This window comes from Homo sapiens, chromosome 20 (assembly GCF_000001405.40).
Source record: "Homo sapiens chromosome 20, GRCh38.p14 Primary Assembly".
NCBI lineage: Eukaryota > Metazoa > Chordata > Mammalia > Primates > Hominidae > Homo > Homo sapiens.
The window spans coordinates 20,170,971-20,198,468 of record NC_000020.11 but is presented as its reverse complement, the minus strand read 5'-3'; the positions used below and the strand labels follow the sequence as shown (position 1 = coordinate 20,198,468).

At 40.8% G+C, this 27,498-nt stretch overlaps 1 protein-coding gene across 2 annotated transcripts in view; it reads right to left on the bottom strand.

Annotated features, from left to right (window-relative positions):
- Window positions 1–27,498, bottom strand: part of CFAP61 (cilia and flagella associated protein 61) — a 308,167-nt gene that overhangs the window by 162,230 nt on the left and 118,439 nt on the right. Inside the window, exons 14-16 of one of the 2 annotated variants that reach the window (NM_015585.4) lie at window positions 10,413–10,539; window positions 7,050–7,127; window positions 1,693–1,899 (exon numbers count right to left, since the gene is read on the bottom strand). In NM_015585.4, coding sequence (NP_056400.3) covers window positions 1,693–1,899; window positions 7,050–7,127; window positions 10,413–10,539 — 412 coding nt within the window. Of the gene's footprint in view, window positions 1–1,692; window positions 1,900–7,049; window positions 7,128–10,412; window positions 10,540–26,135; window positions 26,689–27,498 lie in introns of those variants that run through there. The other variant, NM_001167816.1, reaches the window with a different exon arrangement.

The window sequence follows — 27,498 nt, the reverse complement described above, 5'->3', positions numbered from 1 at the left end:
TTAGAGGCTACATACAACAGTGTGGAACATATTCCTAATTTCATACTATTGAGGTAAATGTATAAACATTTAATGAAATGCCCAAGGTATTATTTTTATTATGGATGCAAATGGACTTTCTCTAACCCAGAACATCCAGGCAACTTCATGAATAAAAACAAGAATTTAATATCACATCCTGAAGGTCACAAAACTGGCATTTGGCCAAGTGCAAAGTAAAAGAAAACTGTGCAGGACCAGGATTTTCCAGCAGAACTGTTACCTTCCCATCTCAGTGAGTTCAAAGCTGGGCCATTTCATTGCCATGGTGCTGCATTTTGACAGGAAAAAACAAAAACTAAAAAAAACTAGAGCAGAGTCTACATCTCACTCAAAACCTTTTCTGTTTTTCTTCTTTCTTCCCCATTCCCTCTGGACTTCTCCAAAAGGTTTTCTGGACTTCTCCAAAAGGTTTTCGTTAAATAAAATACACTGGCAAAATTATTGTTATGTGTATATGTACTAACACACTTTAGATTGTTTAATAAATAGACATATTAATAATAAGGCATTTTAAGATCCCTTAGCTCCCTTGTGCTGATGAGACAATGTCAAAGACTCTAGGCAGAACATGGGAAAGTTTGAGTTCATGAGTGGAATCTTACGGGACAACTTCTACCTGTTCTAGTGGTTGAATCCCTTCACCCCCAAGTCTACATCAAGTTGAGGACCAATGTTGTCAGTGACTGAGAGACCAATTTTCAGGAAAAAAAACCCTTGGGAATCTATCTTGAATAGGCCTTTTCCTGTGGAACAACCAGACACCTTATATGAGTGTGTGAGTGTGTGCGTGTGGGGGAGGGGGGTGAGTATATGTGTGAACTCATGAGTGTGTGTGAGAGTGTGGTATATGTGCATGAATGCATGAGAGTGTGTGGGGTGTCTCTGTGTGTGTGTGTGTTTGTGACTCTTCTAGGCAATGGGGATACAGCTTTGAACAAGACAGATAAAAGCATGGCTGCGTTCATGGTAAAATAGATAACTTCAGTTGGTGGTGAGTGCTATGAGGAACACTAAAGTGGGATGGGAGGTATGCAAGTAAGATGGAGGACTTGCTATCTGTGCATGCACATACACACCATGTATACACATCAGATTCGCGTCTATTACCACAGTATTACTCCATGCAAATGTGGCAAGTGTTACATGGGGTTACATCGGCATCAGGCATCTCCGCACTTTCTCTCCATCACCTAGTAGGGGTGTGTATAGTGCTTATTTGGAATGCTGGGATAGCATGCCAGTCTTCTAAAATAGAATTAATTTATTCTATGGATTCATCACTGAAATGTTCTTGGCTTGAAGGAACAGAATAGGATCATGTTGGCATTGTACTCACGTATCATAAGAAATTATTAGATCTTCATGCTCTTAGAGCATTTCTGCACAGTTTTCAGTCTCTATTTTGTCAATATAGAAAAGCCAACATATTGTACTACCAATTATATTAGTTGTGATTGTGTCAGAAATTCGAAGCCTACAGAATGTCACTGTAGTTTATGAAAAAGGCCAAACTAAATATGGCCATTGGAAATTCAGACCCATGTTATCATCAAAACCCATCATGAGAGGAATGAATAGAATGCGGCGTACAACACCAACAACACTGTGAACGTTGACCTGCTGGGAAAGTGAATTGCACCATTCTCTTACCTTGCCTTCTCTGGATTTTGGGTAAACACGGTAGTAGAGACAGGATTTAAAGCCTAAACGCAGGATCTCCTTCAGAAAGAACTTGGTGTAGTGCCGGAAAATGGGGTTGAGGGCAAAGTGATGCATGTGCCCGTGTTCTTCGCGCTGGTGGTGACTGAAGTAGATGAAATCTTCAATGTTGTAATGGGACCGTATGTACTCAATGTCCTACAGAAGAGACAGAAGGGATGGTTTCTACAAGCATTTTAAACAAACGGCATGCATTTTGTGATAAATATCTTTTAAAAATTACTTTAGGTATGATAGTAAGAAACGTATTTTTCTCTTCCATATTTGCCACCTCATCTCCATGGTAAATTCTTTAAATTAGAAATTACGTTTCCTGAGTGCTAGTTGTTCTGATGGATTGTCTTTGGGGGATGGCAGCACAGCTTGTAATGTGCTCCTTCCATACCCATGGCTGCTATCAACTCAGAGAGCCCCGAGTCTGTGCCATTGGCCAAGCGGCAGGACAGCAGCTCCGTGACACTGCCAGGCGATGTGAGCACAAGCCAGTCAGCACAAGAGACGGAGCCTGTGGGAAATTCAGGAGTCGGGCAAACAGAGCCACTGGTGTTCTCTGATGCATTACTATTCACCTGTTAGTGTGGAAATGTGTCACCCCCAAGTTACACACTTTGTTTTGTTTTGTTTAGTTTGAGACAGTATCACTCTGTCACCCAGGCTGGAATACACTGGCGCGATCTTCGCTCACTGCAACCTTCACCTCCTGGGTTCAAGAGATCCTCCCACCTCAGCCTCCCAAGTAGCTGGGATTTCAGGCGCCCACCATCACGCCTGGCTAATTTTTTTGTAATTCTAGTAGAGATAGGGTTTCACCATGTTGGCCAGGCAGGTCTTGAACTCCTGGCCTCAAGTGATCTGCCTGTCTCGGCCTCCCAAATGATGGAATTACAGGTGTGAGCCACCATGCCTGGCCCCATATCATACATTTTGATTACATGTATGGCTGGCTGGCCTGCTATAAAACTGCGTAATTGGGCCTTATCCCTGTGCACTTCTTAAACCTTCTATCCCCCTTGATGTGTAATATTTTTACAGAGGAAGGTAATTTAAAGGACTGATGAGTGTCTTCCCATGTAAAGGAAATATCAGGCACACTGCTCGTTTCCACAGGCCCAGTTCTGGTCCCCCCTCTGTCCCCACACTGCACTGGGATCCCAGGTCTCCATGCTAACTGTGCCCTGGGCCAGCCTGTCCTGTGTCACCTCCCAGCAGTGTATGCTGTCAGGAGCGTGGGGGGAGGGGAGCACTCCAAGGTGAGTGTGACTCTCTGATGACAGCAGCAGTAAACGCACCCAAAATGCAGGAAAAATCAAATCATATATGCAGGTTGCAAAACACCAACTTATATTTCTCCTTGTTTTCCACAGTAAAATTGTTTTAAAAGCCTACTTTCAAGAACAGAAATTGGAGAATGCAAGGCCCCTGATGTGTTCTGTGATCAGCAAGGCTGGCACCAGCAAATCCATGAAAACTGTGGCATCTGTGGCCAAGCTCCTCGAGGTCCCCTGCCTTTCCAGCTTCTGTCACAAAGCACAGAGGAAACAGAGCTCAGGGTAACCGGGCCAGTGGCGGAACCCTAGGGCAGTTCTGGCAACCTTTCAATCTGCATTGACCCTGTAATGGCCTTTATACTATAAGACTTTTCTTTAATTACCAAGGAGGCATCTCTCATTATAAAATAAAATGAGTGATAAGTATAGGGCTGAGAAATCACTGAAAAACAAAAAGCAAAGAGCCAACAGAGGTTATTAGCTCAAAACAGCAGATGGGCCATGTGCATCTAATTTTCTTCCCATCCCAAATCCCTTAAAATAACAACAACAAAAATTATTTTTGGTGTAATGAGAGCATAATGGAGGACAAAAAAGTAAGGCAGTTTTACACTGGAAGGAAACCCTACCACTAGGTGAAACCTTCTTACCTTGGGTCACCTGGAGTCCCTGCCTGCCGGCTGGTACTCCATTCAAGCACACAAGGGGAAGCCAGATACTGCCATCCCTCCCAATCAAAAAGAGGGGCGGTGGCATTACCAGTGACAGGGGAGATGCCATGGAGAAACATACAAGCACAACTGTCAAGGATACCCATGCCAGCCACCCAAATTGATCATTTAATCTTTCACTCATGACATGGACAGACTTTTGAGGAAAACTGACAAATAAAAAAAGACCAGCATAGAGAAACATACAACTTACTGCAGAGAAGACAAATTATTAAGGAAATAGCAGAGAATTTTTAAAAAAATTCTACAGAGTATACTCAGAGAGATCAAAAAGGATCTTACATGTAATAAACAAGCTGATACCAAAAAGGAACAATAAGAGAACAAGAAAGAGACTCGGAAGTTAAATAGGTGAACTCTGAAATAAAGATTCCAATAGAATACTTGGGTAATAGAATAAACACAACTGAAGAATTAGAGATTTGGAAGACAAAATTGAGGAAATCTAAAATGATGAGTAAAATGTAACATATATATGTTTAGAGACACTGAAGAATCAATTCAAAAGATCTAATATCCATCTAAAAAAGAATTTAAGAAAAGAAGAATGGAGAAAATGGAGGAGAAGAAATAATTAATGAAATCATAGAAGACAAACTGCCAAAAGAGACATGATATTTCTTGGCAAAATTTCAGAATTCCAGATACAAAAAGAAAATTTAATTCTCAAGAAGGAGAGCAAAGAAACACACATTTATTCATAAAGGATCAAGAATCAGGTTGGTATCAGATTATATTTTATCAATGACATTGGATACTGGAAGACAACATTCTGATGAGAAATAATTAGAATGAGGCTGGCGCAGGGGGCTGATGCCTGTAATCCCAGCACTTTGGGAGGTTGAGGGGGGCAGATCATCTGAAGTCAGGAGTTCAAGACCAGACTGGCCAACATGGTGAAACCCCATCTCTACTAAAAATACAAAAATTAGCCGTGCGTGGTGGTGCACACCTGTAATTCCAGCTACTCAGGAGGCTGAGGCAGGAGAATCGCTTGAACCCGGGAGGCAGAGGCTGCAGTGAGCCAAGATCACATCACTGAACTCCAGCCTAGGGGATAGAGCAAGACTCCATTTCCAAAATAATAATAATAATTATTATAATAATTTGAATAGAATTCTACACACAGCCAAATGAGTATACAAGTATGAGGACCAATGAAAACTTATCATATTTGTGTAGACTCAGGGACCTTACTACCCAACACCATCTCTAAAAGATTAACTAACTCCAAGAAATATTGGATCAAAAAGTGCAATAAATCTAAGAAAGAGAAAAGTGTGTAATATATTAAAGAAATAAAGCCATGTGAACATCTCGATGTCAAAAACACATTTGATAAAATTCAACACTCATTCATAATAAAAACTTTTAATAAGATAGAAAGAGAAGAAAATTTCCCTTACTTGATAAGGGATATCTATCAGAAACCTACAGCCACGATTACACTAAATGAAGGAAAGTGTAGAATCATTCCATTAAAATCAGGAACACCAGAAAGCCAGCTATTATTAACACTACTACTCAATGTTGTTCTATCCATACACTAAAACTGGAAAAAGACTAAAGGTATAAATAGTGAAAAGGAAGGTGTAGCAGGTTCTCTTATCCAAAGAATCCTAAGATGACCACCAGGACAGTACCTGTCATCCCACATCCCTCATGCTCTTCTGCAAAGTGACTCTGCCACACCCCCATCGAGAGAAGTCTGCCTCCACCCCTTGTGTCTGAGCGTGCCCTCTAACTGGTCTGACCAGTAGAATAGGGTGGAGGTGATGGCTGTGGCAGAAAAGAGAATCAGCTGAAAAACTCTCCAAGCTCAAAGATATTTCATAAAGGTGATTGAATACAAGATCAAAATACAAACACTAGTAGCTTTTCCATACACAAGACAAACATTTAGAAAATATGAGAAAAAGTGTATACTCAGAATACCAAGAGAAATCACAAAACACGTAGAAATAAGTGATCAACGTCTAGAACTGTGTCAGGTCAGGGTCTCATCAGGAAACAGTATGATCAGATTAGGATAATTGGAGGGCGGTTTAACAAAGGTAATATTTACAAGGATGGGGCAGGTGTAAGGAGATAAGTAGGGACTGTGCAGCAGCAACTACAAGCTACTCCCACTCTAAGAGGGTGGCGCGGGAGGAGGGCTGGTTACAGGAATCCAAAAGAGTATCATGAAGAGGCTGCCTTGAAATGTCAGGGAACTCAGTGGCAATCAGCCTGCTGAGGCACCTGACATCACTGACCCCTCCTCCTTCTGTCAGGGCTCTCCATCCACCAAACCCAACGGGCAGCCAAAAGGCAAAGGTACCCATAATGCTGTGCCCATCAGTCAGGCTCCCTGAGACAGAACAGGGTGGAGAAAGGTGGAGAGTGGACCCACAGGACAAACAAAAACTCATATGGCACAAAATACGATGCAAAGAAAACCACATGAAAGAAGCCACAAGACGTTTTTGAAGAACCCAAAAAGTTCAACAACAACAACAACATAGAAAGCCATGATCCATGATCCTAATAGGGAAGTCTCTATATTTTAATGTCAATTCTCCCTAAATTGTTCTATAGAATCCACGTAGGTACAATTATATTAATAATAAATATTACAAGGTTTGGGAGAGGAAATAACCAAGAACAAAAAACAAGAAAATTTAGAAGACACCAAATGAGAGAACACTCCCCTATTAGATATAAAAGCACATGATAATGCAATAGGTATCAACAGATAAATCCACGGAACAGAACAGAGTTTAAAAATAGACATAGGCATATAGAAACTTAATAAATGTAAAAGCAGCATTTTAAAATCAAAAGGGAACGAATGGATTATTCAGTAATAAATGCTTTGAAATAGCTGGCTGTGCACTGGGAAAAAATAAAATGGCATTTCCATTTGACACACACACACACACGATATATGTAATAAAGTGCAAAGAAGAATGCTGGAAGGTATAAATGCATCACTACAGTAGTAATACTTAGAACATATTAATATATGGAATATATTAATATATGTATAGGTGGTGGAAAGCTATCTGAGTTTTTAGGGTGAGAATGTTTTCATGTGGTCTTTGTAATATATTAAATATTCTGAACTGCAAAAAAATGGAGAATTGCAAGTCCTTCAAGTGGGATAGAGGCAGATGATGATGATATCCATCAGAAAAAGGAGGCATTCACATTAAATAAGTAAAAGTACAACTCCAAAAGGGGCACTGTGGGCTAATTCATGATATAGCAAGGCACAATCAAAGAAATTTATATCCACTTCACAATTTACCATTTCATTTCTGATCACTGCAATACCAACTATTTGTTCTGCAACTTCAGCTACAAATGCCTGCAGCAGTGTTCCATCCTGAAAAGATAAGCATATATTTTAAGACCCTTAAAAATATGGCTATGAATGTTTTTGTAAGCAGGCAACAGTGGGTCTTAACCACGTTCACATAACAACAGAACAAACATCTATCAACACCTACTTTTGGCCAGGTAGTAAGTTAAACGCCTTCCCTATGTCCACCGGATCCTCACACCAACCCTATGAGATATTATTATTATTATTGTTATTATTATTATTTTTTTTGAGATGGAGTTTTGCTCTTGTTGCCCAGGCTGGAGTGCAATGGCATGATCTCGGCTCACTGCAGCCTCCTGGGTTCAAGGAATTCTTGCGCCTCAGCCTCCCAAGCAACTGGGACTACAGGCGTGCCCCATCATGCTCAGCTAATTTTTGTATTTTTAGTAGAGATGAGGTTACACCATGTTGCCCAGGATGGTCTTGAACTCCTGGCCTCAAGGAATCCACCTGCCTTGGGCTCCCAGAGTGCTAGGATTGCACGCGTGAGCCACCATACCTGGCCTCAGGGTTGAGACTTAATAAACTTAATAATTTTACTGCTTCATCAAGGATATTCCTTAGTGAAACTGGCTTTTCCTTTTCTTTCTCTTTAATTGACATACTTGTAGATTTACATGCAGTGTAAGAAATAAAACAGAAATTTCTTGTACACTTTGTTCAGTATCCCTTAATAATAACATTTTGCAAAACCATAGTCTAATACTACAAGCAGGAAACCAACATTGATACAATTGTGGGGGTGTGTGTGTGTGTGGTGTATGAAGTTTCACATGATTTCATCACCTCTATAGGTTTATGTATCCACCACTATAGTCAGAATATTGAACAGTTCTAATACCACAACATCCCTTGAGTTGCCCCCTCTGTCCCCACCCTCCCCGCATCCTTAACCTCTGGCATCAGATAACCTGTTCTCCATTTCTAAAATCTTGTCACTTCAAAGTATCATACAAATGGAACGCTAGAGGATACAACCTGTAGGGGTTGGCTTTTTTCCCCACTCAGTATAATACTCTGGAGATTTATCCAAGCCAAGGCATGTATCAAGAGTTCATTCCTTTCACTGCTGAGTAGTATTCCATGACATGATGTGCCACAGTGTGTTTAACCATTCATCTGTTGAAGGATATCTTTGCTGACAATAGCTGCTATGAACATTAGTGTAAACTCTTCATTTCTCTGGATCAAATGCCCACAAGTGCAAATGTTAGGCCATAAGATAGTTGCAGTTTTAGTTTTTAAATAAACAGTCAATGCTGGGCACGGTGGCTCACGCCTGTAATCCCAGCACTTTGAGAGGCTGAGGCAGGCAGATCACCTGAGGCCAGGAGTTCGAGACCAGCCTGGCCAATATGGTGAAACCCCATCTCTACTAAAAATTCAAAAATTACAGGCAGGCACGTGTAATCCCAGCTACTCAGGAGGCTGAGGCAGGAGAATCCCTTGAACCCGGGAGGCGGAGGTTGCAGTGAGCCAAGGTCGCGCCATCGCACTCCAGCCTGGGCAACAAGAGTGAGACTCTGTCTCAAAATAAACAAATAAATAAATAAAAATAAAAAAATAAACAGCCAAAATATTTTCCAGAGTGGCCACACCATTCTACTTTCCCACCAGCAACACTAGAGATCCAGTTTCCCCACATCCTTGCCAGCATTTAGCGGCTAGTGGCATCGCTATTTTGTTTTAGTCATTCTGATAGGTGTGCAGGGATATTCCACTGTGGTTTGCTCTTTCTGCAGTTACTGGGATGACGGTGAAGAACACCAGGACCACTAGGACGTTTGCTGACACTTCCGTGACCTACTCTGAGGTGGCATTGGTTTCACCCAATGCCATAAGTACATAAGTACAGATCATAAGTACATATGTACTTATGCGTCGTAAGTACAGATCTCAACACAGTGGAAAAGGAATAAAACAGTTTTTACCTTGCAGACTCCCAGAAAATTCATGTTTCAGAGACCCCCAAGGTTCCTTAGACCATACTTTGAGAACCAGGACTTGACCTCATACCACTTAGAGGGCCAGGAGGGAAGGAGCAAAAAATGAAGAACTAAAAGAGTGCAAGACAAACCAAAGCAAACCATGTGCTGAAGGGAAGTTTTATTTCAATTTACTCTGATGCCTTTATAAATAGTAAACATTTGTGTATATGACATTATGTTTAGGTGTTTGGCGTCTCCCTCCTGATGACTTAAAAATTAACTAAAAGGTTTTTTTCCAAAAGAGCAAATAACTGGAACTCCCTGAAAGACCTCAACAGTAGAATGAAGAAATAAATGGTGGTATATTCATGCCATGAAATACCTCATGCTATAATATGGATGACTCTTACAAACATTGCTGAGCAAAAGAAACTTGATATCAGAAAACAAACGGTGTGATTCCATTTATGTAGAGTTCAAAAACAGGCATAGCCAATCTCTGATCTTAGAAGCAAGGTGGTATTAACTTAGGGAAAGGCCTGAGTAGAGGCATCAGGGGACTTCCAGCAGGCTGTGGTTAAGTCTGTTTCTTAAAACATGTGCTGGTTACATGGTGTATGCAAATTGTGAAATCCATCACACTGTTTATTGGTTATACCTCAATAAATTTTTTTTCAAAATAAAATGTATCAAAAAAGTGACTATGCACAATATTCTTTCATCTTTCCATGTGTAGTCAGATTAACTGTCATGGCCCTAAGACAGCAGTATTAATTTACAGACTGCCACAAGCCTGACTTTTGCCATAGCACATACATGCATTACTACACTAGAAAGAGAACCCAACATTTATCATGCAGGATCTTTCCCAGCCCATGTAATCCTGGGGGATGCAGCCAGCTCAACAAAAGGGTCTGGTCAGACTCATCATCTCATAGGCTCAAACAGGGTCCCACTACCCTCAATCTGGTACCCAGTGCTGCTGAGGTGGGCACCAGATACCCATGGATTCCTAAGCTACCCTTCCCTAACCATGGTCATACTGTATCTACCTATCCCAAAGACTAGGATCCATCTCATTTTGATATGATTGTTTGGATCAAGTCCAAATTTTCTATCTTCCTGAGAAGGATTTTGGGTATCTGATCCCTCTGGGGGATCCCCACTGAGAATGGTCTCACTTCCTCAAGCCCCAGTCTCCACAGTTTTCTCTTCTTGCTCCCATCTTCTAACTCTACCTCCACTGCCCCCTGCCATATGATTTTCCAACTCAGATCCAAGGAAGTTTCAGGGCTGAATCTACATGGGTCATCATAATGGTCCCATATCCTGAGGTCTGGTCACAACAGGTACTTACAGGGTCTTTGCGAGCCTTGTTGTAACGGTCTAAGTCCTCCAATATGCTTTTATTCAACATGAGGGTGCTGACAAGATTTTCCACACCAGGAGTATCCAAGAGAGTGGCAAATCTTATATTAATGGACCTGGGTAAGGAGAGGAATATATTTTTAAGTTAAAGTACTAAATATGTATTCCCCCCAAATGGAGACAGAATTGTAATATATCACACTTATATAAAATAATATCCAGTAAAGTATGTTTATATAACACTGGGGTTTGAGTAATTATAAAAGTAACTCATTTCATTATAGAAAACCTGAAACACAAAAAAGTGTGAAGAATAAGGTAAATATCACTGATAATGCCATTAACCAAAGACAACACAGAGATACTTTAAATACATTTAATTTAAAATAGCACTATGATTTATTTCATAAACAGAGTCAAAATCCTTCCAATTTTTAAATTATGTTACAAAGAAGTCACATTGCACCAGGGCTGGCTTCATGAGTGTGGGACCCAGGGAGCAGCACAGTGCTGTGTGCTTTTTAGAGCCTCACACTCAGAGTTTATTGCTCTGAGGCCACCGTTCAAAAATTCTTAATAATTTTATCTTTGACTTCATGCTTTTAAGTGAAGTTAAGTGACACAATGGAGCACGTCAGGGGCCTTGGAGCCTCTGCTCACGTGTGATCCCCACAGTCTCTCCATGATGGTTTTCTCCTACCTGCTCCCTGCCCCTGGCACCCTGGGCCCTAGACAGCCTCCCCATTCCTGCCTCATGACAGCTGCCTCCTCCTTCTGCCAGGAGCGACATTGGTTGCTTTGGTTGGGGGAAGCCCGTGTTCAGCCAACACCCAGTGGGGTTCCTGGACAAGGGTATAGAGAGGCTCATGAGTCAGCTACATGACACATGGAGTCTCTGGTCAGACCAAGGGGGTGGCTGTCCCCACCTTGGGCAGGCAGTGCCATGGCGTGTTCGGCTAGCAACTCAGTGTGGACCTCCTACCCATCCCCCACCCAGGTGTTCAGTGCATCCTGGTGCAGAGGTTGCAAGCCCTTAGTTGGATGCCTGTTTGCCATGGGTTGGAGCCCATGGGAAGGAGAGACTGACTGCCCCACACCAGGCCAGAGCCTCACATTTTCATTTTGTAATGGGTCCTGTATATTATGTAGCTAGCCTTGCAGTGAATTCTCTGCAGTTACTAGGGTATTATTACTCAATGGGACAATGCCATTCCTCCTCGTGCTGATACAATAAAATATCCTAATCTATTTAACTTTTAACTGTAGGGAACATCTGTGCTTAAATTTTAATACATGCTTCCATATTATGAACAAAGTATCATATTTGCAAAGAACAATATCTGTATCTATAATTAACTAATAAAAAGATGAACAATTAATACCATCTTAATGTTTATGAGCAATTTTAAGTGAAAGATAAGAACTTGGTTGTTATATGACCACCTTACACCAAAATCTAGTTCAGTGGATTACAGATGTAAATGTAACAAACAAGACCACAAAAGCACTAGAAAAATACTCAAGCGAATTAAAAACATATGTCCACACAAAACCTGTACATGAATTTTCATAGCAGCATTATTCACAATAGCCCAAGAAAAAACAACCCAAATGCCCATCAATTGATGAATGGATAAACAGAGTATGATTGATACATACAACAGAACACTATTCAGCCATAAAAGAAAATAAAGTACTGATGCATACTCCAACATGCATGAACTTTAAAAACATTGTGCGAAGTGAGAGAAACCATATACAAAAGGCCACGTGTTGTGTAATTCCATTTATATGAAATGTCCAGAATAGGCAAATTTACAATGATAGAAAGTGGGTTAGTGATTGTTGGGGGCTGAGGGGAGAAGAGAATGGGAGTGACAGCTTGACAGGTACAGGGTGTCCTCTGGGTGATGCAAATGTTTTAGAACCAGATAGACGTGGTAACTGCACAATGCTGTAACTCTACTACAAACCATTGAATTGTACACTTGAAGTGGACAAATTGTATGGCATGTGAATTACATCTCAATAAAGCTGTTACAAAAATATATGTAATGCCAAAATAATTGAAAGGAAAAGGGAATGGCAACTAATAGCAAAAAAATAAGCTGGCATAGCTATATAAATATCAGCTAAACCAGATCTTAAGGCAAAAATCATGAGAAAAAGGTCTTTATTTGATAATAAAAGTTCACTAGGAAGATATAACAATACCATATGTATAGGTGTCTAACAATAAAGCTCCAGGATACTGAAGTAAAAATGGACAGGGTTATGAGAAGAGTTTGAAATTCACCATCATATTGGTAGAGTTTAATATGCCTCTCTCAGAAACTGGTGTCAGACAACACATTTAAGATACTGTGGAAGATATGGATAAACTTAAGCTAAAGTACACTACATCCCCCAAATGAAAAAGACATGGCCATCTAAGAGTCGTCTCACTGTTTCCATTCCAAAGCCCTCCACCCAGCTGTCTTTCCTGTCTTAGGTAATGGCAACTCCATCCTTCCAGTGGTTCAGGCCCAGACCTTTGGCCTCATCTGTTTTCTTGCACACCTCTCTTTCAGCCTAACTTTGGGCTGGCTCTGCTTTCAAAATGCATCTAAGAATGGAACGACTTCTCAAGACCTCCAGTGCTAGTCCAGCCTCCACCACCTCTCTCCTGGGTTGCTGGAACAGCATACTAGTGTCTCTCCACATTTCTGCCATTGTTCCTGACAAGCCATCCTCCACCAATTTGCCAGAGCAATGCTTATCAAATGTTAAGTCAGATCACAAGACTCTTATACTCAAATTCCCAGTAATAGAGGTGTTCTTAACCTCTTTTATGTGTATGGCCCCTCTCAGAATATTTTTAAATGCATAAAGTAAGATACATAAGATTACAATATACGAGCTTCATTAAACAAACATGATTCAGCAGGGAGTCTAATAATTACCATAATTTTGCTACATTTACGAGCATAAGCTTGCACTCCCAGTAAAAGCCAAAGTTCTACAGTGGCTGAGAGCCCCCTCTCCAACTCTCCATGACCACAGCCTCCTTCCCCGTGCCCTCCCTCTGGGATTGCTGCTTGCTCTGACTCATCTCCAAATAGTTGGCTTCTTGGTTTCCCTGCTCTGCTGCACAGGCCACTATGCTGTTCCTCAAACATGCCAGACATAGTCCCTCATCAGAGGTTCCCACTTGAGGAAGTTCCTACCTCATCAGAAGGTCCTACTTCATCAGAAGTTCTTATGTCATCAGAAGTTCCTATCTCATCAGAAGGTGCTACCTTATCAGAATTCCCTACCTGAGGAAGTTCCTACCTCATCAGAAGTTCCTGCCTCATCAGAAGTTCTTACCTCATCAGAAGTTCCTACCTGAGGAAGTTCCTACCTCATCAGAAGTTACCTCATCAGAAGTTCCTACCTGTAATTCTCCTCCAGCAAATCTATGAGCCTGTTCCATCACCTCAACATTGAGTCTTTGCTGAAACTTCACCCTCTCAGTGACGCCCTCCCTGACCCTGACCCCCTATTTAAAATTTGGACCCTGACCTTCCATCCTCATTCCCTGTTCTATTTTTCTCCACAGCACTTCCTACTTTCTCTTTATTTTGTTTTTCACTGTTTGTCTCCTCCCACTAGAATAAAATTTGACAAAGATGGCAGTGTTGGTCTATTTGCTCACTGCTGCCACCTCATGGCTAGAGCAATGCCTGGCACATGGTAGATGCTCAATAAACAGCTGTCAAGTGAACTAATCATGAAGCTTGCATGGAGATAGCCAGAGAGCTTCCCCATGCTTATTACATGTTTTTTTACATATAATAAATACTACAACTGAGTTATAAAGAGTGTTGTTGGATACTGGACTGGAAAGTGAGAATAAGTGGACATCTTCCCCCAGCAAGGCTTGAAGCTCAGACCATATCATGGTCCACTCTAAAAGACCAGGGCTTTTTGTAGCCTACAGTGGTGCCCAATAAATGTTCAGTAGGACATGGGGTTATCTTCCTGCAAAGTAGCACAAAACTGCAAACATCGTTTCACCAGTCTGTCCATGGAAATCTACTGTTGATCAGGGGTCACAACCATTTTGCATTCATCTCTGCTATTCATATTCACCAAAGAGGAATATTTCAGAGCTTTCCTTTGTTCCTAGAATTTCAGGGGGAGGAACGGGCTATGGCTGTATGTTTGTGCCCTCCTCTAAAATGACACTGTCCAGTACAAGAGCCTGTACACTTGAAATGTGGTACTCAGAATTGAGATGTGCTGTAAGAATAAAATATCCACTGAATTGTGGACTTGGTACAAAAAAGTAACATAAAGTATCTCATTCGTGCTTTTTAAATATTGATTACACGCTGAAACAATAATATTTTGGATATAATGGGTTAAATAAGAAATAAATGTTACAATTAATTTCACCTACTTTTTGATTTTTAAATTAATGTGGCTATTCAAAAATCTAAAATTACACATGTGGCTCACAGCGTATTCCTACTGAATGGGGCTGCTCTCTATGTCTGTATTTGCCTCTGAGAACTATTTCCCAAAAGGTTTTTACTCAGCTCAAAAAGCAGAATGTAGGCTGGCTGGGTGAGGTGGCTCACACCTGTAATCCCAGCACTTTGGGAGGCCAAGGCAGGAGGATCACTTGAGACCAGGAGTTCAAGACCAGCCCAGCTGACATGGTGAAACTCCATCTCTACTAAAAATACAAAAATTAGCCGTGCATGGTGGCTCATGCCTGTAATCCCAGCTACTTGGTTGGCCAAGGCACTAGAATCACTTGAACCCAGAACCCAGGAGGCAGAGGTTGCAGTGAGTCGAAGTCGTGCCACTGCACTCCAGCCTGGGCAAAACAGTGAGACTCTATCTAAAAAAAAAAAAAAAGAAAAGAAAAGAAAAAAAAATCAGAAGGTAAGTCTTATTCCACATGTGACCTTTTTTTGGCAGACTCTGAGGCAAGGTGGCTCTATATATACTATTCCTTCCACACTGGGTGCTGAGAACAGCAGCCTGTTTGTTTTCGCTTTAACTAGAATGAGATGTGGGGAACCTGAGGAGGAGGTGATCTAGCTCCTTCCTTTTCTGGATAAAGGGTGGAAGAGGTGTGGATTCTTTACTTAGTGTGTTCTGATAGCCATGTGTCACTATGCACTTGTTCTTTGTGTCTTCACATCTCCTCCTGTTGCATTTTAAAGCATTTTCACAGTATGTGGTTTTGCCTAATAAAGCATTCTCATAGCAAACAAACAAACAAACAAAAATGGGACACATACTTGTTGCTACAAGGGTATTTCCTTTACAAAGGAAATTGCTTTTAATTGCTTCTACATAGCAATTGGCAGGAAAAAGTGAAAAATGAATAAATGTAAGAAATAAACTCTCAATTAAGACATATTTCCTTAAAATCAATGATTAAAATGGATTAAGAATCATTCATTCACTCCATCACAAATATTTATTAAACATCTGCTGTGTGCCCGTGTTTTGGGTGCTGGGGATACATCAGGGAACCAGACAGTCCACAATTTCTGCTCTCGTGAAGCTGAACTGCTATTGACTCCAGACCATATTTTGAGAAATAATTCTGCAATTCTTTAAAATTTTAAATAAGGCACATGAGGTTAGAAGCGGACCAATTGTTATGGAGACCTTCATCTGTGTTTTTGCTAGAGAAAGCCCCTTGAAAAATACAATGACTTTAAGACAAAGTTGTAAGGATGCATACTATTTTATTCTCAACAAAAAACACTAATTAAAATCCTTAATTAAAATGACATGGATCTAAAAATATATATTATGTCATCCGTACCAACAGAATACTGTTGTCAAATTATCAAGCAGCTATCTTTATTTCTTACCCTATTCTCAGATAAATCATAGAGATTTAGAGTATTCATTGAGGGTTTATAAAATGATACCAAGACCTTCTGTGGAATGAACTTTAAATCTGCTAAATAAATATCCAATAAAACAAAGTCCGCTTCAATGATTATGTACCGACTTAGGCCTGGCAGGACTTCAGAAGATGGTGGCTCATTGGATGCACCTAAACGTGGCCCTACTTTCATCTCTCTGCAAGTTTTCAATAGGAAGTTGCTTCTTTCATTTTAGCCATTATGGTGGCTCCCATCTTTCAGTCCCATGGCCTATAGCCAGGAAGGAGAACATTCCCACCTCCCTCTACCTGTTCCACATATCACCTTGCCTGATCTTCCCAGAAGTGAATGTGTACTCAGTAACCAGAAGGGTTTAGTGTTCTTTTCCCAAGGGTGCAAGCATAGTTCTAAAGCTACCTTGAATCAGTGAGGGAGATTAGCTATGTTTTTCATTACCCATCCACATGGCTTCTTCCATCCACAGAAAAAGCAAGGTCTCCGGAGGGCTTCCCAAGGCTTTACCTCTCCAGGTCACCTCTCTCTTATGCTTTCTCTCTCTGATGTACTTGAATGCCCGAATCTATTAGTCCTCAGGAAATGACACCTCTCGGTGAAGAAGTGATGAAGCCCCACCCAAAGTGGCCCCTTCTTGAGTCCTCAGAGTCTTGCAGTCTGGGTCACCTGCTTCACAAGAGGTTTGCTTCTTCCTGTTTTTGGCTGACTTTGACCTCAAGGATCAGGGTTTCTAGTATTTAATCAGGTCACACACACAATAAAGTAGAATATCATATATGAAAGTGGAAGGAAAAAGATTGGGATTTTCAATCCCAAATTGAGTGGATGAATTGTTTTAGACACAAGGTTATGTGTGTGTGTGTGTGTGTGTGTGTATACATACACATACATATAAAAGTTATATATATACACATAAAAGTTATATATATACACATATGTATATATACATATATATACATATATATGCATATATATGTGTATATATATAACTTTTACTTTAAATTCAGGGGTACGCGTGAAGGTTGGTTATATAGACAAACTTGTGTCATTGGGGTTTGTTGTAGAGATTATTTATCACCCAGGTATTGAGCCTAGTATCCATTAATTATGTTTCCTGATCCTCTCCCTCCTCCCACCCTCCACCCTCTGATTTGCCCCAGTGTCTGTTTTTCCCCTCTATGTGTCCATGTGTTCTCATAATTTAGCTCCCACCTATAAGTGAGAATGTGTGGTATTTGGTTTTCTGTTCCTGCATTAGTATGCTAAGGATAATGGCCTCCAGCTCCATCCATGTTCCTGCAAAGGACAAGATCTCATTCTTTTTTATGGCTGCATAGTATTCCATGGTGTATCTGTACCACATTTTCTTTATCCACTTTAACACTGACGGGCATTTAGATTGATTCCATGTCTTTGCTATTGTGAATAGTGCTGCAATGAACATGTGTGTGTATGTGTCCTTAGAATGATTTATATTCCTTTGGATATATACTCAGTAGTGGGGTTGCTGGGTGGAATGTTATTTCTGCTTTTACGTCTTTGAGGAGTCGTCACACTGTCTTCCACAATGGTTGAACTAATTTACACTCCCACAAATAGAGTATAAGCATTCCTGCTTTTCTGCAACCTCTCCATCTGTTATTGACTTTTTTGTAATAGCCATTCTGACTGGTGTGAGATGGTATCTCTTGGTGGTTTTGATCTGCATTTCTCTAATGATCAGTGAGGTAGAGCTTTTTTTCTTATGATTGTTGGCTGCATGTATGTCTTCTTTTGAAAAGTGTCTATTCACGTTCTGTGCCCAGTTTTTTTTTTTTCTTTTTGAGACAGAGTCTCACTCTGTTGCCCAGGCTGGAGTGCAGTGGCGTGATCTCGGCTCACTGCAAGCTCCACCTTGCGGGTTCACGCCATTCTCCTGCCTCAGCCTCCTCAGTAGCTGGGACTACAGGTGCCCAGTTTTTAATGGGGTTGTTTTTCCCTTGTAAATTTGTTTAAGTTCCCTATAGATGCTGGATATTAGACCTTTGTCAGATGCATAGTTTGCAAAACTTTTCTTCCATTCTATAGGTTGTCTGTTCACTCTGTGGACAGTTTCCTTTGCTGTGCAGAAGCTCTTTAATTAGATACCATGTGTCAATTTTTTCTTTTGTTGTAATTGCTTTTGGCATCTTCATCATGACACCTTTGCCCATTCCTATGTCCAGAATGGTACTGCCTAGGTTGTCTTCCAGGGTTTTTATAGTTTTGTGTTTTACATTTAAGTCTTTAATCCTTGAGTTAATTTTTGTATATGGTGTAAGTAAGGTGTCCAGTTTCAGTCTTCTGCACATGGCTACCCAGTTATCCCAGCACGATTTATTGAATAGGGAATCCTTTTTCCACTGCTTTATCAGGTCTGCTGAAGATTAGATAGTTGTAGGTGTACAGGCTTATTTCTGGGTTCTCTATTCTCTTCCATTGGTCTATGTGTCTGTTTTTGTACCAGTACCATGCTGTTTTGGTTACTGTAGCACTGCAGTATAGTTTGAAGTCAGGTAGGGTGATGCCTCCAGCTTTGTTCTTTTTGCTTAGGATTGCCTTGGCTATTCTGGCTCTTTCTCGGGTCCATATGAATATCAAAACAGTTTTTTCTAGTTCTGTGAAGAATGTCAATAGTAGTTTAACAGGAATAGTATTGAATCTATAAATTGCTTTGGGCAGTATGGTCATTTTAATGATATTGATTCTTTCTATCCATGACCATGGAATGTTTTTCATTTGTCTGGGTCATCTCTGATTTCTTTGAGCAGTGTTTTGTAGTTCTCCTTGTAGAGATCTTTCATCTCTCACTGGTTAGGTGTATTCCTAGGTATATTATTTATTTTTTGTGGCAATTGTGAATGGGATTGCACTCTTGATTTGACTCTAGGCTTGACTGTGGTTGGTGTATAGGAATATTAGTGATTTTTGCACATTGATTTTGTATCCTGAGACTTTGCTGAAGTTGTTTCTCAGCTTAAGGAGCTTCGGGGCAGAGACTATGAGATTTTCAAGACATGGGATCATGTCATCTGCAAACAGGAATAGTTTGACTTCCTCTCTTCCTATCTGGATGCCCTTTATGTCTTGCAGAAAATAGGGAAATTTTTTAATACCAGTAAATAAAAATGAAATAACAGGGAGAAGAAAAAGTGATCTGAGTCTTTCTGGATTCCAAAGAAGTGATCTTTGTAATAGAATCATGAAACAATTTGATAGCCATTAGTATTTCAGTTTAAATCAAAAATAAATAAAGAAAGAAAATAAAACCCACAAAATTAAAAATGAAGTTTCTATCGGGTTCTGTTCAAGGAGGCTGATTAAAAGCAGAAGGGGCCAAGGACTGACGATGTTAAAACACTCTCCACAATAACACGGGCCTGAAATAGGAACAATGGTAATTTTCTGTGTGAGCCACTCACAGAAAAGCAAAGAAAACAGAAATGGTGGGGGGGAGAATCGATTAAAGGACAACTAGCTAAATGCATTTTATTTACTGAGCCAAGTTAATGGCTGTATGATCTAACTCAGCAGTAAATATTTATTTATAAAAAATAATTCCTAGCACAATAAATATTGGTTAGCCAAATACATCTGAAACGTTTCCCCACATTTAAAATGTCAAATTTCAGAAAAGCATCATGTGAAAGGGTGGCAAGATGGAGTGGGCAACCAGTTCACCTGAATATGTTCTCTGCTAATGAATAAACAAGAGGACAGAAAAGCCAGTGGGTAGGTCAAGAATGAGCAAGCAGCGGAAATAGAAGAATCATCTATAGCACACACTCATCCCATATTAAGTTTGGAAGTGTCTTAGAGGTTAATATATGAAGAAAATGTATCATAAAGGAAGCATTTAATTTATCCACAATTAAAGTGCAAGTTAACATAAACATTAGGAAATGTTCTCATCTCAAAGGCCTGTAGTCACTAAACAAAAGGAGAGGGAACCTGGGTGTGGAATGTGTTGACAGAAGAGGTAGCCATCACTAATGACAGAATGAATAATTTGTCCCAGTGCTCACCAGCACAGCCAGAGGGCAGATGACAGACACAAATATAATTTCCCAAGGGAAGAAGAATGAAATTAGGTGGAGGACCAGAACACAAGGTCATGAAATTTAAAGTAACCAAACTTAAGAGCAGAAACAATTCATCCCAAATGTAAAGAGAAGTGAAGCAAAAAATAGAAGAACATGATACATTTTTAAAGAGTAGGTGTGGAGGACCTGTGCCCTCACCATGCCCAAGTGGCTCCTCCTCACCTCCTTCAGGTCTTTACTCATGGCCACCCTTCCTGTCACCCTAGGCAATAAATGGCAGCCCCTCTCCCACTCAGCAGTTCCTATCCCCTCTCCACACCTGCTATACTCTTCACGTTCGCCCTTAGTGCCTATATACTGTGCATTTGATCTCTTTCCTTTACATCTTTCTCCACCATCTAGAATGCAGGCCCCCCGTGAGGGCAAGAATTTCTATCTGTTTGCATCATTTCTGTTTCCCCAGCACCTGGGATAAAGCTGGCACATGTATGCAGTCAGTGCTGTGGATTTTACTGGATGAATGAGGGGGCTTTGCTGGGGTCTCTGGGAAGGAAAACAAGACATCAGCCAGCACTCTCCTCCTGCACCCCGGAACCCAGTGGCCATTTTGTCAATGTGATCGACGTCAATTTCAGGATGGAGGGAGGGTGGAAGAAAGGAAAGAAACCAAGACCCTGGAGATACAAACCCTAAAGCCCTGCCTATCTCCAGACCTCCTGCTTATGTGAGCCAGTACATGTCCTACAGTGGAAGCCATTCTGAGTTGGTTTTTCTTTCCTTTCCAAATGAAAGCATTCTCATCGTTAACCTAAATTTTGAAATGCAAAAAATGGTTTTAGAAAACCACAGGTGGAAAGTGTGTATGAAAAAAGAAAGGGCCAGGAACTAGAAACAAGCAAGAGAAATTAAAGCATTACTTGGTATAAATAGAAAAAAAATATGTAAAACTGTTATAGTCCACATATTCGTACAAATCTAACCAAAAGGTTATATTTATATACAGAAGAAATGAATAACTCAGCAGTACCAAAAAATTACTAGATCATAAAAGGTTTAAAGTAGGTGTGGCCTTTAAACTTCTAAAATTGTCTAGAAAAAGAAATAAATATAAAATAAAATAAAATAATAAAAAGTGAAGTAGGTATGGCTTATATGTTTTATAGAAAATCTGTATTTGGAAGACAGATAATCACAGTTCTTTTTAAAAAATTAATTTAATTCTATTTTAAGTTCTGGGATACATGTGCAGGACAAATATACGTTACATAGTGTGCCACGGTGGTTTGTTGCACCTGTCAACCCATCACCTAGGTATTAAGCCCAGCATGCATTAGCTACTTATCCTGATGCTCTCTCTCCCCTCGGACCCCCACTGACAGGCCCCAATGTGTGTTGTTCCCCGCTCCCGGCCCCCGCATGTGTTCATGTGTTCTCATCATTCAGCTCCCACTTATAAGTGAGAACGTGCGGTGTTTGGTTTTCTGTTCCTGTGTTAGTTTGCTGAGGATAATGGCTTCCAGCTCCATCCATGTCCCTGCAAAGGACATGATCTTATTTCTTTCTATGGCTACATAGTATTCCATGGTATCATAGTATTCTATGGTATCACATTTTCTTTATCCAGTCTATCAGTGATGGGCATTTGGGTTAATTCCATGTCTTTGCAAGTATGAACGGTGCGCAATGAACATATGCGTGCATGTAAAATAGAATGATTTATATTCCTTTGGGTATATACCCAGAAATGGAATTGCTGGGTCAAATGGTATCTCTGGTTCTAGGTTTTTGAGGAATCAGCACACTGTCTTCCACAATGGTTGGACTAATTTACACACCCACCAACAGTGTAAAATTGTTCCTATTTCTCCATAGTCTCGCCAGCATCTGTTGTTGCTTGACTTTTTAATAATCGCCATTCTGATTGGCATGAGATGCTATTTCTTTGTGGTTTTTGATTTGCATTTCACTAATGATCAGTGATTTTGAGCTTTTTTTCATGTTTGTTGGCTGCATGAATGTCTTCTTTTGAGAAGTGTCTGTTCATGGTCCTTTGCCCACTTTTTAATGGGGTTGTTTTTTTCTTGCAAATTTGTTTAAGTTCCTCATAGATTCTGGATATCAGACCTTTGTCAGATGGATAGATTGCAAAAATTTTCTCGCATTCTGTAGGTTGTCTGCTCACTCTGATGATAGTTTCTTTTGTAATAAATCACAATTATTTTCTACCAGATGACGTACCCATTAAAAAAGCAGAAGCCCCAGCCAGGCGCAGTGGCTCACGCCTGTAATCCCAGCATTTTGGGAGGCCGAGGTGAGTGGATCATGAGGTCAGGAGATTGAGACCATCCTGGCTAACACGGTGAAACCCTGTCTCTACTAAAAATAAAAAAAAAAAATTTAGTCAGGTGTCATGGTGGGCACCTGTAGTCCCAGCTACTCGGGAGGCTGAGGCAGGAGAATGGCGTGAAACCTGGGAGTCAGAGCTTGCAGTGAGCCAAGACTGCACCACTGCACTCCAGCCTGGGTGACAGAGTGAGACTCTGTCTCAAAACAAAACAAAACAAAACAAAACAAAACAAAACAAAACAAAACAAAACAAAAACAAAAAAAAAACCAGAAGCCCCTACAGTGCTTCTTAAACTTTTAACGTGCATGAAAGTCAACTGGTGCACTTGTTAGCAACACAGATTCAGAAAACCTGGGGCAGGGCCTTGGATTCTGTATTTTAGCAAAGTCTCAGCAGATGCTGCTGCTGCCGATCCCTGGACCACACTTGCAGTGGAACTGAAGAGCATATGAAGAAAGAACTGTCCTTGAGTAAAATGAGGTAAACTTGAGAAGGGAAGCCAGGTGCTAAGGAGCAAGAAGGAGGAATATTCCACGGTCCATGGTGGCCGTACATCCAGCCCACCCTGATGGCCTTCTTTAAGGGACAAACAAGCTCTTGTAAAGCCTCACTTTCTAAAAGCCAGGTGTGAGTCCTCACAGATACAAAGGGTGCAATGTCACTGAGCATCACTGGATAGTGCCCTGACTTACAAAGGACCCTGGCTGTTGCACCTGGACTCCTCTTGCACCCCTGGCTGACTTGCAGGTGCAGGGGACTGACTGGAAACATCTCGGCACTTAAAGAGAATGCCATGGGGACGCGGGGACAGAAAGGGAAGGCCCTGTGCAGGCACTGCCACCTCGGGCTAACTGATGCCAGGAACCCAGCAAGGTGATGGAGTCTTCTTTAAGGTCACTCCCACTCTCACATTTCCGAACTGCATTTTGTGTGACATGAAATTCCATCAAATTCATTTGTTAGCACACTCATTTTTTTTTAATACAAACATTGCTGGGGTGTAAGGGTGGGGGTTGCTCTCCCTTCTCATCTGTGTAGAAGCCTCTTCAGGTTGGCCACCCTCCTTTCTCTCCTCCACTCCTGCAGCCACGATCAGCTGCCTGAAGAGGGTGCAGGAGTGCGGACTTTAAAAGAGCAAAGGGAAGAACAATATTGTCCTCCCTACAGGAACTGAGCAATATTGACAGGTAAAGCTACCATTTTTAACATTAAATGTGTGGTTTCACTAAAAAGCTTTTTATGCTTATAATAAGGTTTAAAGAATTAAAGAGGAGATCTATGCTTTCTGTTGAAAACAACTGCCCACTGCATGTGCACCCCTAATGGTGATAAGCATGTGGGTTTCGAGGGATGTCTTCCCCTATGGGACCGTGCATGGCTTCTTGAATGGAAAAAGGCGATGGACACAACCATGGCACTCAGAGAAGCTACAGAGGTGCACAGGCAGGGAAACTGGTGTGGGCTGGCGGGTGCGCTGGCGACAAACTGGAGGAGGCTGTGAAGGAGGGTTCCTGATGAGGGCTCAGGTGGCAACTGCGACAACACATGACTTGTTAAAGACACAAAAACTAGTTCAGCTTCTGAGTCTTTAATATTTCAGAAAAGAACCCAGGTATACATCATGTGCTCCAATTTTAAATGCAAGTGATTCAAGAAAATGAAGCTGGCACTGAAAAAGGTTACGAAGAAAAGCCAGGGCCCCACTGCAACCAAACTAATTCCCAGACAAGTGTGGAAAGACTCATCATTTAAAAGATTTAGATTTTATTATTAAGAAAAGTAGTGCATGGACACAGTAAAAGAGTGTGAAAGAAAAGAATATGAATGTAAATTATGTAATTAAAGCTACTAAGAACAAGGCCGCTACTACAGTCAGATCGATGTCTCCTTCCTAGATCCGTATCATCTCATTGCTCTCCATCTCCAGTGTCTTTATTCAATTGTATTTATTCAGAGTGAAAACTCCAAGAAAAAAAGTCACCAATGCATTTAGGAATGCGGAGTATAAAGTACATTTTTAAAAATTCTACTTGAATCATAATACTATTTAAAATCTCAGTGTAGAAAAAATTAACTACATTTTTCTATCACAAAAGTACTGCACACCCACTGATTTTTAAAAATTCAACAGAAATAACCCATTTAAAAATAGGCAAAAGACCTAAACAGACACCTCACCAAAGAAGATATACAGTTGGCAAATAAGCATATGAAGACATGCTCAACACCACATGTCATTAAAACAGTGAGGTAACACTAACATACTGATTAGAATGGCCAAAATCCAAAACACTGATGACACCAAATGCTGGCAAGGGTGTGTAGCAGCGGGAACTCTCATTCACTGCTGGTGGGAATGCAAAATGGCTCAGCCACTCTGTCAGATAGTTTGACAGTTTCTTGTAAAACTAAACATATTCTGGTCATAGGATCCAGCAATTGCACTCTTTGGTAGTTATCTAAATGAGCTGAAAACTTTCACCCACATAAAAACCTACACATGAATGTTTATAGCAGCTTTATTCATAACTGCTCAAACTTGAAAGCAAACAAGAGGTTTTTCAAGTAGGTAAATGGGTAGACACACTGTGGTACATCCAGAGAACAGAATATTATCCAGGGCTACAAAGAAATGAGCTAGCCAGTCATGAAAAGACATGGAAAAACATACTAATCCGTGAAAAAAAAGCAAATTTGAAAAGGCTACTAACAGGATTCCAACTTTGTGACATTCTGTAAATGTAAAATTATGGCGACAGTAAAAAGATCAGTGGTTGACAGTGTTGTGGGAAACGAGGGACGAACAGACAGAGCACAGAGGATGTTCAGCAGAGTAAAACTATTCTGTGTGCTATCATAACAGTGGATACATGTCATTATACGTTTGTCCAAAGCCATAGGATGTACAACACCAACAGCGAACCCTAATGTGAACTATGGACATTGGGTGATAATGATATGTCAGTGGTGGTTCACTGATTACAACAAATGTTCCAATCTAGTGCTGGATGTTCATGATGCGAGAGTCTGTGTATGGTGGTGGAGAAGGGGCTTGTGAGAACTCTCTGCACTTTCTGCTCAATTTTGCTGTAAACCTAAAACTACTTTTTGGAAAAAAAGTTTATTGGCCAGGTGTGGTGCCTCACACCTGTAATTGCAACACTGGGAGGCCAAGGTGGGTGAACTGCTTGAGCCCAGGAGAGTTCAAGATAAGCCTGGGCAACATGATGAAACCCTGTCTGTACAAAAAAATACAAAAATTAGCCAGGTGTTGTGGCATATGCCTGTAGTCCCAGCTACTTGGGAGGCTGAGATGGGAGGATCACCTGAGCTTGGGAGGTTGAGGCTCCAGCGAGCCATGATTGTGCCATTGCATTCCAGCCTGGGCAACAGAGTGAGATGCCGTCTCAAAAAAAAAAAAGTTTATTAATTAAAACAAAAAAATCAAACATAACAGATAGACATAATGCAAAGTCAGTCACCATCTTCACCTACAATTCCCAGTCCTGTTTCCCAGAGGCATATAAGGTTACTGAAATCCTGTGTAACTTTTTAGAACTTCTATACATACACAAGATAAAAACTAGATATAATGTTCCCATAGTATCCTTTTTCCTCTTCTTTTTAATTAAGGAATCAACTGAGTTTTTTACTGGACACATGCCCAACCTACCAGCAACATATCTTCCAGGCTCCCTTGCAGCTAAGTAGGGCCATGCAACCAAGTTCCTGATCACATAATATGAACAGAGGTGATTCATGTCCCCTAAGAGGAAAGTGCTTCCCCTCTTCCATTTCTCATTCCACCCTTCCCTGTGGGCTGCAATGTGGCTACGGTGCTCCGAGCTAGCTCTGAGCACAAGGAAGAAAAGTCCACTCTGGCCGTGGGTCTGAAACTCTTGCATGCCACAGAGCCCTTTGACACTCTGGTGATGCTATGAACTCCTTCCCAGACAAATGTTTCTACATTCATTAAATAAAACACAAAGGATTATAAATTATATTGAAACACAGTTAGCAAAATGTTTTTAAAAATGTGTTACAGTAATGCCTGTGCCTCTTTGTTAATGCATTACATAATAAATTATGGTCAAGAATAAAATTACTGAAATTTCAAAGTAGGGTAAATATTATGTGATATTTTTGAGACATCGGCAACAACAAAAACATGAACGAAAATATCTGTCATTTCTACTGGCTATGAAGTCATGGTTTCTGCTAACACTATGAGACCTGCTAGCTCCAGTCACAATGGAAGGACACATTAAACTTCACTTACAGGTTAGTGGAATAAAGATGTAGCTTTCCTTTCCATCCAAATTCACACACCTCATGCTTCTCTCTGGATATGTTAGGTAACCCTTGCTCTATGGAATGGAGGGGCAATAAGAGAAGGAACTTCGGTTCCTGGACAACTTCATGGAGAAAAAGCTGGTATTCTCCTTAGACCACGTGCTCTTGTCTGGACTACTGCAGGACAGAGACAGAACTGGCTCAAGGCAGTTGTGTTTAGGGGTCACTCTGATACAACAGTTTAGTATTAGTGCTGACTGCTACCTGTGAACACTTCACAACAATCAAATGGGATTACACTGACCACACCATGTCGAGAAACAATATGTGGGGTGGTCATGAGTTGGCTCTGTAAGCTAACAGCCTGGGTTCCGATTTCAGTTCTGCCACTTTCTGCTGTGTGGACTGTGGACTAGTTACTCAACCTCTCTGTGTCTCAGTTTTCTTACCTGTGAAATGAGGATAATAATGATACCTAAC